Source organism: Homo sapiens, chromosome 6 (assembly GCF_000001405.40).
Source record: "Homo sapiens chromosome 6, GRCh38.p14 Primary Assembly".
Lineage (NCBI taxonomy): Eukaryota > Metazoa > Chordata > Mammalia > Primates > Hominidae > Homo > Homo sapiens.
Window position 1 is genome coordinate 93238871 of NC_000006.12, and position 16028 is coordinate 93254898.

The 16028-nt window shown below is 32.3% G+C and overlaps 1 protein-coding gene across 6 annotated transcripts in view; it reads right to left on the reverse strand.

The window, feature by feature from the left end:
* EPHA7 (EPH receptor A7) overlaps positions 1150-16028 on the reverse strand; it is a 179540-nt gene continuing 164661 nt past the window's right edge. For 5 of the 6 annotated variants that reach the window (NM_001376466.1, NM_001288629.2, NM_001376465.1 and 2 more), the window contains exons 14-17: positions 15777-15926; positions 7922-8115; positions 6428-6583; positions 1150-4670 (exon numbers count right to left, since the gene is read on the reverse strand). In NM_001376466.1, the coding sequence (NP_001363395.1) occupies positions 4556-4670; positions 6428-6583; positions 7922-8115; positions 15777-15926 (615 nt within the window). In that variant the 3' untranslated portion in view covers positions 1150-4555. Of the gene's footprint in view, positions 4671-6427; positions 6584-7921; positions 8116-15707; positions 15927-16028 lie in introns of all 6 variants that reach the window. The other variant, NR_164810.1, reaches the window with a different exon arrangement.

A 16028-nucleotide genomic window follows, 5' to 3' on the forward strand; every position in this document is an offset into this window, starting at 1 on the left:
CTGCTCCACAGCTTGAAAATTTGCCAGTCACCATGTTATCTTTATCATTTTACTATCTGGAGTTACAGTTTTTGCATTTAGGATTTAGATAATCTCTTTGATTTGTGTGTTTCTTTCAGTAGCTTTCTTCAAAATTGACATTGACTTTTCATTGCAGCTAACAATATACAACGAAGGGTAAAAGTAGGAGATAAGTGCTTCAATGAAAACATTGTTACTGATGATTACCGTAAATGTTTAAATATAATTTTTATTTAGTTATGGAACTTGTGTATTTTAATAATGGCTTATGATAGTGTATTTTTGTACCAGTTATAAATCTAATATTTTGGAGATAATTTTATAATTTCCGGGATCTCCCTCAGTGTTCCAGGATATATAATTATCACTGTATAAAATTAAGAAGAATGTTGGTTTATGTCTTGCATCTTTGAGCAGCATTTTGTTAATATGTATATCAGAAATGGGCAGGGACAGGCCAGGATATCAAGATTATCTTTGAATTTCAGTTTAGTGTAGCATGAGCCTCATCACTACAAGTATGATAGCTAGCAATAGCGCCTCATCTGACATTTGCCTATTATTCTCATTTTTGGGGGGAATTTAAGAGGGTGATGTTTTAAAATAGGGAGTGCTTAGTATTCATCATTTCAGGTGCAAGTTAGAATGTCACTGAGTCACTTTCTATGTCAAACAACTCAATCATTCAACCAGATTTATCACTTTTTCCTTTTGTTTTGGATTTAACGTTTGCATGATCTAGTAACCTGAATGAAAAAAAAATCTAAGTTCATTTATTTTATCAAATGTTTAAAATATATGTGAACGTCCAACGACAAAATATTTCCTCTCTCATGCAAATATTGTTGTTAGTATCATGCAGTAGTTTCAGGAAGGAGCAAGAAAGATTATAACTGTTTGGCAGTATGGCTCTTTGAAGACATAATCTTGTTATTCTGTAATAATTAGAGTGGAATTAGGTTAGTGTGCAAGAGAACAAAAGGAAGTAATGGATATTCATTTTTCTTCGTATTCTGATTGGTCCACTCAACTATTTCAATAAAACTTTATCTCTTCTTGTAATATTGTATAGGAAAACAAAGAACATGTAAGGGATATAAAGGAATCCACCAATGATTGGAGACAGGATTTTCTTTACATTGTCTAATAGACTTGTTTATTATTTTAAGCTGGTAAAAAGAGACTTATGATTCATGTTGAAGAAAGAGTTATTTGTGCTTGATACATTGAAGACACTGTTCAAAAGCAGTTTGTCCTTATAAAAGGATGACCCCTGTAGTATTTCTTAGGCAAGGAGGGACAAATTCAACCAACGAAAAGCACATCTCGCCCCGAGTTCCCCATGATTTCTCCACATATAGCAAAAAAATACACATCAGTAATTTATTTGAACATGCACATCAGTGAGTAGCATAGTTCTAGGCTACTCAAGAAACAAAAGGGAGAATATCAGCATTACCTAAATAAAAAAGAGAGGTGAATCACACCATTTTAATTGTCTTAAAAACACGGATAAGAAGAGCAATTAAAATATAGTCCTAAACAGTACTAGCTAATGTAGATTACATAAGTATACAATATGATTCAACTAATAGTGCTCTGACAAGCATAAACCACCAGTTCTAGTAAACAAGGACCAGATCAATTGCTGAGAAAATGTTAGATTCAAATGTAGAACAAGTTACTTTTATTTCAGTACTGAATGCAAAACACAGGTCAAGTGTGAGGACAGTGTTCTAAAAAAGGTGGCTCTATTAAAGCAAGGAGGCCATTTCCTTTTGCATTTTTATAATTTTGGAATTCTATTTTTGACGTTCACTTTCTCTACTTTTCCTCCCCTGAGCACTAATTTATTTAAAAAAAAAGATTTCAAGGTGCAAGTTGTACATTCTTATCGTTATACCATCTCATCTCTTTCTGGAAGAGAGTATTACAATCAGCATTACAATGTTAATTCTTTTTCTCTTAATATTTGTTTCACATACATGTATTTCGAAATCATAATGTTGATTAGGAAAAGAAACTTACAAACGAGATAGTGATGTAATCATACACTTCCTATTGTGCTGTGTGTCTTTCCCATCCCTTCTCCCCTTTCCCTGTAAAGAGCTGTAAAAAATTTAAGGCAGATGAGGTATATTGCTGAAGGAAAAATTTATTTTTGAAAAAAACTCAAAAAAACTTTTATTCTGCCCTTCTACTCAAGAAAGACTACTCAACTATAAATCTAGTGCTAGAAAAAAGCAGGAAAGACACCGTTTGCATGTACCATACTATGTCTTCTATTTCTAGAATGGCTTTTGTTAATTTAATTTTAATAGAAAAAATAAGCACCTTAAGCTATGAACAAGAAAAGAACTTCATTATTAGTGAGTCTAGAATCCAAAAGGAATTAAGAACACTCACTCAAACTCTTTCACTCATTCTCACAAAGGCCAATGCTACTGATTAGAATTGTAAAGTGCTGGACTTAGTATAAACACTTGTACACACTGCAGACACTGAAAAATAACCCTCAAGCACATTGTGTTATAGTTCCAAAAATATATTTACAGTCTATTACAAAGATTACAAATGGAAGTGTCTAGGTGACTGTATTATGCTAATTAAAATTATTTTTACAGATTACTTTTCCTTAGGGACAAAAAACATTTTAGTGAAATTAAAATGATTTTTCTAGTCAATCAAAAAATAAATTAAAATATCAAATAACACTGTACAGTGATTTAAAACCAAAAAAAAAGGGTGGGGAGGGGTTTGGGAAGCAATCCATTTGAGTTTTTCTATAGCCGTCTTTGGTCCTAAATGTGGGAAAACACATTATGTAGCACTGAAAATACCTGTTCTTTTGTGATGCTCTGCAAGTAAAATAGAAAAATATAGTGCATTTTCAATGTATTCAGAGCCCACTACAGAGAAATGTGTGTACAAAACAAGACAGTATAAATAAAATTTACAAGTTTTACAAAGGAACATTTACAGATTTTGTTTCTGTTATTTGTTTGTTTGTTTGTGGATGCCCACATTATCAAACAAGACCAATTATGACCGATCCCTGGGATCTTTCTCTATTAAAATCATTATAAACAGCCCAATTCTCTTTGGAAGTACAACAGTTCAATTCTGGGGTAGTTCATGATTTTCATAAGTTTTGAAAGCATTAATCACAATATGTATACATTCCTGCAATATCTATAAAGACACATTTAATTATTGCTTATGAAATTCTAACACAGTAATCAAATAATATGGTTTAATAAATAAAGCTTTAAAAACAAGCCAGATCCTTCACCTCTTCCTTCTAGGGTAAAGAGTCCTTTCATTTAACAAGTTTCTTGCATCAGTGTTCACAAACAAAAGACTTTTTGTTTTGTTTTGTTTTGAACTGCAATGGTGATATTCTGTGCAGCAAATTTGTGTTTAAATGGTGAAAATTGTGAACTGCCCCTTTATCATGCTTCAGAGTTATAATATAAAACAATTATTTCCTTTCATGTTTGGACTGCATTCAACAGAAGAGGATATAAAATATATGTCAACTATTTATCCTAAATTTCCTAATGTCACGAGAATGAAAAAATCTTGATGTGCTCAGATTAATTTTTAGATAACACTGGATAGTTCTGCTTTCAGAGACTTGCCTTCACCAACATTCTTCAGATGAAGTGCCTCATTTGTTTATATACTCATAAACCTAAACTTCGAGTTTATTAAATTCTTTCTAGTAAAATCACTCTATAAACAATCTGTTAAAAGTGCCTTATAGTATGTATGGATCATTATTGCTTTTTTCATTGAAAAGATAGTGTGTTGTCTGATCTTTACAAAAAAATTCTTTTTAAAAAATATCAGAGCTCTTGGCAACTTGCATTTTCTTGACTACCTGCCAATTAGCAAACAATATCAAAACAGCACTGATTAAACAGAATAAAATGGCACAAAAAGGATACCAATGTTCTAACAGAGATGTATCTTCAATCATGCTATTTCTTTTGAAATTTGAGATTCTTTCAAAGGTACCCAGTGTAGTAATGTTACAGATTTAACACTAAAAAGGTCCAAAGCTATAAACAGCTTTCTAAAACAAAGTCCTTATGAAGAATAAACACAAATGATTTTAAAAAGGAATAGTCTGAAATCACATATTTAAGGAAAATATTTCATTAATTTTAACAATAAGATCATGATTTTATTTGACAAATATATTCTTTCTTAAATTCTTTATGTACATTTTAAAAAGTCTATAAGACAAAAAGGAGGTTAGAGAGCTCAAGGTGTTTGGATGTTTTTCAGGTAGTACTTTGTTTATTGTCACTGCTATTTTCCTGGCCACCGATGGTGGATCCTAAATTCCCTTTTTATATATTCTGGTGGCACTTAGGAGTTCAAGTCTATAGGTGCTTCTTAAATCTTCTCTTCACTGTTGGAAGGACCCAGGACATCACTTGTCTTCTAGCAGCATTCTATGCATATACTGAAGGCCAGTACTGTTCTCTTGCAGTCTGTAATCTCCCTTAAAAGGGAGAAATGCATATCACACTTGAATGCCAGTTCCATGTAAATGTAGCATTTGTGCTCTCATAGTCTGAATGCTGCTCATGATTTTCTTTTGATGACCAACCAGTGTGATCCCTAAACTCATCACATCCCTGAAAAAGACAAATGCACTTTTTATTAGGTACCTTACAAAGAATAAATGTGGCACTAAACTGTCATCAACTGTTTAATTAAATACGTTATCTTAGCCAAATAGATCTTATCTTAGTGTTCTTGGGTATTATGATCACACCCCTGCAGCAGATCAGAATTGTAAAACCTACATCAACATTCTCCTTTGTAAAAACCTAACTGCTCAGGTTCTCAATTTACTCTCAATTCACTTTTAAAGTGATTTGAAATTTTACATAAGAAATTATTAAAGTCTTAAAACTATTATTAACTTAAGGAAAGGTTAGGAAATGTTATTTGAAATGTTGTATTCTTGAACCTAATAGGGATTTAGAAATTTCTAACTGGAAAAAGCTTGATAAAGGATAATGAAAACAGTTTGTGGGATCTAGTAGAAAAATTGGAACTCATCAATGACCATGTAAGTTTTTATACTGGATTCAATTAACGTGTGGTAATTCTGAGCATATTATTGGTTATCTACTTATTTCAGTGAGTTCAATCATTTCATTATATGTTATAAAAACTATCTTTTAAAATGTACATCTAAATTTAATAGCTTAAATTTGAATCAAGAATTGGATCTGTGTTTTGCCTTTCTTAATAGCCAGATACAATGAGCTGATGTCTTTACAAGCAGCTAAAATATTGCAAAACTATAGCACCGTAGTTTTTCATGGCAGTGACTGAGAAACATGGGTTTTCAGGGGTACAGATTGCTTTGGGGACCCAAGTGTAAAAATGCCCACATAGTGACTGGAAGAAAACTGAACAAAATAGCATGCACACACTTAAACCCATGTACGTGACATTTCCTGGCATATACCAGAAAATAATATTTGATTGCTGGTCTTCATCTCATTGGAAAAACGATGACAGTACAATATAGGATCCCACAAATGGAACCTTGATTATTGTTTTCCATTTTCAAGCACATTGACTGAGAGGAACTATGTCACCCATGAAAGTCATGCTGCAGCCAAGTCAACTGAGGTTCAGAGATTTTTAGATTGTCCAGGAACCCATAATTAGTGATGGAGCCAGACAGGAAAAGTGAGTTCTTTTAACTTCAAGTTCATAGAAATTTCAAAAGTTGCTTTATCAGGTCATTTTTTTCAGGTTAAAAAAAAAAGAATTGATCATACATCTTCCAAAAAGTAAGTTGAACTCTTACTTTTAAGCTATGGTTAACTGAATTAAGCTTCTTTTGATCTCTTCAGAAATAATCATATTGGACGTTCTAATGCATTTCAGCATTGAGTATAAAGTTTTGAAATTATTTAAGTTCAACACAAACATGGTGAAAGAAATCCTCCTTTGCAATGGAGAAAGTTTCCCCAGTGAATAGGAATCTAAATAATACAGAAGTTAACTACAGAGGAAGCCTCACTGGATGGTGTTTAGAACACCAGCTATGGAGCCAAATTAGTTATTACTTACTAGTTAACTTGGCTTAGGGGAAATATTTAAATTTTCTGAACTTTAGCCTTGTTGGCAACAACATAGGTATGAAACTATAGACTTCATACAATTATTGTTGTGAAGGTTAAAAAGGTAATATGTTTAAAGGTCTATTTAGTATAATGCCTGGTACGCAGTAAGAACTTGTTAAAGAAGTATTTTTTTTATCTTGATTTTGGGATTCAAATTCTTTTAATATAAAGAAGATAACCTAATGTATAAAGTGTAGATTGTACCTAATAAATCCTTAAATACAATTTTAAGAGTTTAAGCTTACTCAATAGTCATCCTGGCTACTGATTCAAGGGAATTGTAGCCAGCTGCCGTGAAATTATCTTTATATCTTTCCATCTTAATAGCTTGTAGCCATTCTCCAACTGAACAAAAGGTAGTGAAATCAGGAGTGTTTTGATCCAGAAGAGGGCTTATTGGCCTAGATAAAAATGAAACAGAAAAGCGAACATTATCCTGAAATACCAAAGAAAGAATGTTTTGGCCCATATAAAATTAAGGTATAAAGAACAAAATTAGATGTTTTAATTGGTGTACATAATAAAAAATACATCGATATGCTAATAAAAACCTAAAGCATCCAGGAGGCCAGTAACTACAAACTCCTAAATTTACATTTTATTTAGATATGATGACCACCCAGTTTTGTCTTCCATATGTTTTTAAAAGTACAGCCAACAATATTTGGAATCAGTAAATAATTGTTCATTTGCTTTTCCAAAAGTAATTGGGAGTAAATGATGCACATATGGCTGTGTTCTAACCTGTTCAGGCCACGAGGGTGCTGTAGAGATATTGTGCATCTCCTTTGCTGATGGCATTCTTGTGAATGCCTGGGGAGTTAGAACACCTCCACAGGTGCCTAACTTACTACCAATGTAAACCAGAGCATCAATCTTACCTGGCGTCTGAGGCTGAATAACTATTAACATGCATTACAATCAAGCAAGCCAAATGCAAAGGATGAATGGACTCTTTTTAATGAGTACACCTCTTTAATCATGTATTGAATTTTTTTTTCTTTTCTTTTTTTTTTGGAGACGGAGTCTCGCTCTGTCGCCCAGGCTGGAGTGCAGTGGCGTGATCTCAGCTCACTGCCACCTCTGCCTACCGGGTTCAAGCAATTCTCCTGCCTCAGCCTCCCAAGTAGCTGAGATTACAGGCGCCCGCCACCACGCCCAGCTAATTTTTGTATTTTTAGTAGAGATGGGGTTTCACTGTGTTGGCCAGGCTGGTCTCGAACTCCTGACCTCGAGATCCACCTACCTCGGCCTCCCAAAGTGCTGGGATTACAAGCGTGAGCCACCGCACCTAGCCTGAATTTCTCTTATAAACTTTAACATCATTGAATCATTTATTAAATGACTTGAAGCAAAACAGTTAAATAGATACTATGCATATAACAAAAAACAAGGACAACAGTAATAAAAACCCATGTAATAATAATAATATTGGTCTGAAAATATGAACTGCTGCTATCTTATCACAAAAATCCAGTTTATAAAGTTTCTTTTATAAAAGCAGCTAGTGATACTTGTAAGTTTAAAAAATGCAATAACTAATAGATTCTTTTCAAACACTAATTAAGGTAAGCCTAACTGAAAAGAAAAAAATAAACTTCAGTAAATGCAATACATTTAATATGAGTTTATACGTCAACACAAAAGTCAATTTGCCATTGTGGTGGGGTGGAGGAGATAAATGGTTTATGTTACTATTGTAATTTCTCCCAGATTCCATTCCCTTAGGCATTTCTTACCTACTACAAGTTCCCAGGGGAGTTTTCAGACTATTTGGGTTTCGAATCATTTTGTCTAGAATTCCAACTATCTGTTCAAATTTTGGCCTTTCAGCACGCTCCTTTTGCCAACAATCCAACATTAGCTGGTGAAGGCCAGCTGGGCAGTCCATGGGTGCTGGTAAACGATAACCTTCTTCTATTGCTTTTATAACCTAATAGCCAAAAGGACATTACAAATATTACTGATTTAGGTTCAATTATAATAAACCAAATTTCCTGGTAGGCAAAATGATTTATCCAGAGAAGAATGAGGCACAATGCTTCACAAAAGACTTACTTTTTTCCCAAAATTTCCATGAATATTAAGCATGTTATTAAGGAGTGCGTGAAGTGCAGGATATGATGACATTTCCTAGTTAATTCAGCAATAGGGAACAGCAATTAAGTTCATCCAGGGTACAATAGATGGAAATAGTTTTAACATCATCCCAGAGGCTTTCAAAAGGGAACATGTTATGGAACTATCTTACTTGTATATCTTTGTGAGTATCCATATGTGCCCATACATTTAATAATTCTGCAAGTTGTAAAAGGAATTTGAGTTACCCAGAATGAGCCAAAATGATTCACTTTTAAACAGGGTAGCAAAATAATATGAATGTACTATGACAGAAAATATTACCAAGCACATGAGTCTTTTAAATAATATGAAGCTTATTGTTAGTGTTATAAGACAGTAGTTGTAAGACAGGAGCGAGGTTGTACTGGTTTATGAGTGGCGACTGCATCCCTTCCCTACTCCAAGTTCCCTTACCTTACACTGGCAGATTGAAATCAGCGTGGGGGAAGGGTTACAGCAGGAAATAGGGAAAGGGTACAAATCAGGGCTTTCCCAGAGAGCTGGTTTTTATTATTATTTTTTTATCAGCATACCACTGCCTATCTAATAGGCATATCTAATATTATATCTAATAGCCTAATATATCTAATAGCATACCACTGCCTAATAGGCATATCTAATATTATATCCAATAGCCTAAAAAACTGTTTATATGAAGCTTTGAATGTTAGTGAAAAATAGGCCCCTATAAACATTTGTATGTAGCAATCAGAAAAATTATCATTCAGACTTGGGTTTTTTATTTATATGAAAGGCAAAAATAGATCTTAAAAACCTGAAAATGTTCCAAATCTGAGCAGCAAAGGGAAGAGAACAAGAAGACAAACAGCAGAAATAAGAAGGGATCGGAGAACACTAAAACAGCATTCGAGGGGGAAGAACAAATCCTTTGACACTGACTGATATAATGGTAGAAATGTAACAAAAAATGACCCTCTGAGGAAAAAAAAAATCTTTGAATTTTCAAAGAAAATAAGGCCAAAAGTAGGCAAACAAAAAGCTGGCTTTAAGAAATGTTGATGGTCTTAATATTTTTAGGGAAACACATCCTTAAGATGCATGCTGACATTCAAAAATAGCACCTTAAAATATAAAAGGTTGTAGGATAGGATGTAATGAGTACAGTACTTGGCATCAACAATATTTGAAAAAAAATTCTTTTGTATAAGGGAAAAAAGTATACTTTTTTCTTTAAGAAAAATCTCTAACTCTAAAGTTTAAAAAGTAAATAGATGGACTTAGTTATAGTAATTTTTGAAAATTTATATAAGTATAAAATTTAAGACCAAACTCTCTCCTAATCACTAGGTTGTATTTCTATCAGTTTATTAAACTTTTCATCTGAATTGTCCATAGGTACCTCCCCTGTATATATTTAAAATTGAATTTATCACCTCTCTTCCCAATCCTTTACTATTTCAACTAACGGCACATCCAGTCCCAGTCAGAAAGCTGAAAACTGTCCCAGGTTCTTTCATTCTCCCTCTCTCTCTTTTTAAAAACAAACAAACAAACAAACAAACAACAACAACAAAAAACGGAGTCTTGCTCTGTAACTAGGCTCTGTCATCCAGGAGTGCAGTGGCACGATCACAGCTCACTGCAGCCTTGAACTCCAGGGCCTCACATCCTGATCCTCCTGCCTCACATCCTCTTATATACACAATTAGTCACCACTTTCTGATGATTTTCTACTTCCCAAATACAATATATGCTCAAATACTAGAAAAAGTATTTTTCCATATCTGTATCTACATTTATATATCTTTCTCTATATATACATATCCCTGAAGTGATGGAGTGATTATCTCATAGTTAAGTCTTTACAAAGTTTCACACTGAGGTGTTTCTTTAAGTATTTTATTTTGAACAACAATTATGGAGAAAACACCTTGGCCTTAAGTGACCTTAATCAGTGTTGGTACTAAATGCAATGGAGGTCATATGACAGAACTTAAAATTTTCCTTTTATGATCCCATAATTACAAATGTTGCATATCACTGTAAACATTCCTCTAAAATATCCCTTTTAAAAGCTATACATCAAACAAATATATACAAATGGTAACTCTGCAAGGATCACAAATATATAAGTACAGGAGAAATTATATTTTTTAAAAAACATTTTAAGTGCTAAGAATTTCAGTGGTTTTGCAAAACATTCCAGTAATAGCACTGTACTTGGATTCAAAAATGTTATGTTAAAAAATGTGAATAAAAGTAAAAGTAATTTACTTTTAGAAAGTTGGGTTAAATGATTTAAATAGCAGATCAAGCTGGGAATAAATAAACTAATAACTTCTGAAATTTTATATATTCAAAATGACCACACAATAAGCAATTGGGGGTATTTTTTTCATTGGAAAATGAGCGGCTTTTTGTCTTTGAGGCTGCTTCTATTTAAACACATACAGTCTATTTCTGATTTGACATGACTGCATTCTAATGCTCATAACATTAATTCAGTCCTCATTATTTCCCACCACCTCCTAACCTATTTCCCTGCTTATAGCTTATCTTCAGGTGTCCTGAAAGGAACAATGTAAGTCGAGTGATCTTTCCTTTTTTCTTTCCCTCCAAATAATGTTTTAAAATGTAAATCTAAATCTTATCATGCCCTCTTGACATAATACTTTTCAATAGCACTTCAAGCTTTCAGAATAACACTTAAAATTATTGATTCTTTAGCTTTCAACACAATATATTCTTAAGTTTTTGTAGCACTGAACATAGGACCATTAAATGATTATTAGAAAAATAAGTTAATGAACCTCTGTAGTTGTCCTACTGCATTACAGAAATTTAATGATTCCTTTTGTTATTGTAGAGAAACAACACTGATCTCACTTCAAAGTGAAACTCCTAGCTATATTCAAAGATATAATGTTTTATACATTTTTAAAGGAATAACAACAAGATATAACATTTAAAATAAGAGATATTGGGACTTTAATAATCTCATTAATAGTCACATCCCTATGGACATGAACACTTAAGGTACTTGCTGGGAACTCTTCGACCTTATAGAGCAGTTTGGCATAATCCAAGATACACCCTTTGAAACAAAACCAGCCAATAGGAGCTAATTGAGGCAAAAACTGAACTTTGAGGTTCTGCAGTTTTCATTTATTAGCCTAGCAGTAAAACAATTTTCTTGTTAAATATGCAACTAATAATCATTGTTAATATTTATTAAGTGCTTATTATATGATTGGCATGGTTTTAAACTTGAATTATCTTATTTGATTCTTACAAAAACCTTATTAGGTTTAAGTATCATTATTATACTGATTCTAGAGATAAAGAATGTGTGGCGCACAGGAAAAAAAAGAGAGGGCCAGTCAGTATCAGGTAGCTGTTAGTAGAAAAGACAGAATTTGACGTAGGCCACAGACCAGAGCCTGTGCTGTTAAGAATGGCATTATTTTTCCAATGAAAAAATAGGTACATTCTTCATATAGTTAGATATTCTTGGAAAAACAATGCACAGAGGTAAGATAGCTGGCCCTCCACTTCTTAGAGGATTATGTAACTGGTTCACTGAATTCATCTGAAACATATTCTTGTGAAATTACTAGAAACTCCTTGTATTTGCCTTAGTATTCTAATAAAATTCATTCATAACCAATTCTATATCTAAATAGTTCCCAGAGGAACCAGAAGTGATTTGGGTAAATGTAATTTTAAAAAAGATCTCTGGGACACAACAGGGACCACTTCTTTGGCAAATGCTGTAAAGCAATACTTAGAAATAAAAACAAAAGTTACTTACTGAGAAGTGTTTCCATATTATTACAGTATGACCATTGTAATTAAGAGAAAAAGGAACACAGTAAGACCCCATTAACGAGCCTGTAATAACTCAAAATGGCATATGACATGATTGGCTTCTGTCCTCTGCTCAATACTCATTTTCTATTTCATTAACCTCACAATAACATGACCCACATTTTATGCAATTAAATATGTTGGACTTCACTTATGAGATTTTGGCAAAGTTTTACATAAAACAACATCATAATTTTGCTTCTATATTAACATGAAAAAATATAAAGTCATAAATCAGTGATGACTTTTAGAAGGAAAATGAGGTCTCACAATTTAGCTGAGAATACATTTACTTATGAGTATATTATATTTTCCAAGCCCTTAAATGACTTTTCTTATATGGCTTTAAGGGATTATCTTTATGTCTCATATCTTTAAAAAAGCTTAAATTTTTTAACATCCTAATATCTACCTACTAGGAAAATTAACAATTTACTGGCCTAGTTTTATATAAGAAAAAAATACTTTCTTACGTTATTTTTTTAAAAATACTTTTTTCTTATGTTAACTATTAGGATACTAATTTACTATATAGATTTTATTCTTTTTATGCTAGTAGTATTTTTTCTTATATTACAATACATTAAAATACTAATGTAAGAAAAATACTGCTAGAAGAAAAAAAATCTATATAGTAAAAAACTTCAAAATTTCATAATTTGAGGGTAAAAAGTTGATTTGGATGAATCAAGATATAAAATTCAGTTAAAAGATGGCTGCTGTGAAAACCAAAAGGATATTTTCAATTTCCACAATATTTCTTATATTTGACTACATTTACATACATGAAGATTTTTCTTTGAAAAGTCATTAATGGAAAGAGCTAAATGTTTGCAGATTTTTTAGAAGAACGAAAGTTGGAAATTTATTTGGAAAGCTCAACCTCTTGGTTTTAATTGCAACTAACTGAATCCGACTGTTTCCATTGTAGTTAAAACTTAAGAAAATAATAGACACATAAAAATACAAATGAGTGCCCATTCAAGGGTTAACTAATGGATAACCTATTTGAGTATGAGTCTGGTCATGTATAGGTATATTAGTTTTCCCTAGGTTTTTCTTGTTCATTGCCTTGTCCAGAGTTACACAAACTGTTCAGATAGTCCAGAACTTTCTCACTCATTAGCTTCTACACCACCCTTTTGTGTCTCTTCAGGTTACAAAAACCTCACTTTATCCAGCATTCAGCCTGGAACTGTGTGGACTTGCTTAGAAATGTAACCATCACTGTACATCTTGTTTTCTTGTGTCTTGTAAAAAATCTTTTAAAATCTGAGGCATTTAAAATTTGAGGGCTTTCTAAAATCCCTGACAAATTCCTAGCAACTAAATTTTAATAATGTAGAGTTAATTGGTTCACTTGATAAATCCATCTAGGCTAATTAAAAGACAATGAATACATCTGAAAATCTGAGGAAGGCAACCTTCCCAGAAAAAAAAATAATATATTCACACATACACAGCAGTTTCCACATGTATCAGGGGTTCACAGGGGTTCATAGATCTAAGTCTCTCCATGAACTCCTACCACAGATTCCTAGAAAAAAGCTTTTATCTAGAAAATTTTATCCCAGAATGGAAATCATTATCCTAAATTATCTGATTTTTCTCCATTTGCATATTGAAAATTAAACATATAATTGTTCAAATAGCACTCTACTGACATAATTATAAAATAATGAATATTATCTAATAAGAAGAATATGAATATCAATTTCACTGTACAAACTGACCTATCTAGGTAATCTCTCACTGCTAAACAAACCTGTGACCAAATTTATTAATTATTTTAGACCTCCTAAATAAAAAAATTAAAGAATGTGCCAAATATTTTAGGTTAAAACTAAACTGCACAATAGACATAATTATGTCATTTGACTAATAAAATATTAATCCTTGGTATAGTAAGGCTATATTCATAATGTTCATTTTTAAGAAAAACAAAAAACAATACTTAACACATTTTAAAATTTAAAATTGGAGAAATTAATTTTTTTCTTCTTAACCATTTCCATTATTTGTTTTTGGAAGTTAAGTGAACTCTGAATTTGTCAGTCCTGTCAGTCCCTTTATGTTTGAATCCAATACAGAAGGAAGGTGTCAAAAGAAATGAAACTCCATGGAGTGTCTAGGGAATGTAAATATTTCTCTTTCTCTGCCCTAAGGATTTGTTTGTCCAAATTTTGACAGTCCATGAAATCTTTGACACTGAGACCTGTCAAATATTAACAACTTTGCCTCTGCCAAACAGACTCATCATTTAGACTTTTATCTTTGAAAAACAAAAACAAAACAAAAAGCAAATGAAAAAGTTTTATGTCATCATCCAATTCAAAATATCAATAGATATAACTGATTTATAACCTTCCTCTTTTCAGACTGTGGACTTCTCAGTTAATGAAAAAATTTGTAGGGAAAGTATCAAAAATAACCTTATCAACAACATATAAAACAGTCTAAATGTTAGTTGTCTAAAAATCACTACTGTAAGTTTTAAGACCCAATGTAGATTTTCCTTAAACACTACTTATTTTTTTGACTCCACACTCCAAGAATTTGCATTAGTATCATTTCCAGACTCCTCTGAAAACTCCTTCATCAATTTGTCCAAACCTACATCTTCATTTCTAATTACCACAAGTGTACTACATCTCTGTTATAGAAAAGTGAGTCCATTTGATCGGTCTTCATACACCTCTAAACCTTAACTTCTCAACTTTCCAGTGTGCTTCCTTAGAGAATTGGCTCATCAGCTCTGAACCAAGGTATCCACCAGATTTTTAGTACAATCCTGGATATCTTCCTAGATTTCATACTGGCTCTACATTTATCTAATTTTCACTCATATTTCAATAGGTTGAACTATAAGTGCTCTTGGCCTACAAAATGGCCATTTTAACAAACTCAACCTAATAAAAGCAACTTTTTTTTTGCACTTTTGCTATATTGTTTTATAAGTGGTCTCTTGGTGTGAGATGTATACACGCTCACATGGACTACCATCAGTTTCTTTTCTCAACGGAAAACAGTATGTTTTATGTTTTAGCATGTCCTCATGGCAACAGGGTATGTACATTTAATAAATATACTTTTAAAAGGAATTTCCAAAGATATTCTTATTGTGATTACATTCTAAAATATCACTATGAAACATTTACTAATATTGATCATAAAATCTAGATTGTCCCATGAAACTAAAACTTAAACCAATCAACAGTAGATAATTTAAAGAATTTTCTTAGAACACTAAAAGAAAAAGATAAGCTTCAAAGACAAAACAAAGCACAACCAAACTTCCTTCCCTCCTCTTCACAAATGATTCTTTTACTCATGTGATGCTCCCACTCCAGCTGTGCAAGTGTGGAAACATTATCTTTATTAAGGAGGAAATATCATTAGTAAGCTTCTATTTTGTGTCCATAGAATTTATATTATAAAAAGAGAAAGTGATTATTCAAAATGAAAGCCAAAATAATAAAATTAGTAGAACCACTAATTTATGGTAATTAGTGTGGTAGTAATTGTGGAAAACTGTATTTTTATAATTATTTAAAAGTGTTCTTAATGAGCCTTTACCTACATGTTCCAGTAATACTGGCCATTAATGTATTCAATCCTTTTTGTTTAAATGAATGTAACACCTACATCTTGATTTGACATGTCCCAATAAGGTCTTTCTCCATAAGACATAACTTCCCACATGACTATTCCATAGCTCCATACATCACTGGCTGATGTGAATTTCCGGTACTGGATGGCTTCGGGTGCTGTCCACCTTACTGGAATTTTTCCACCCTGTTATAAAAAGAAATGAACATTTTAAATATGTATAATAACTGATATATTATTTATGGCAATACCATAAATACATATGTGCATTTTTGGTTGGTAGTTCAG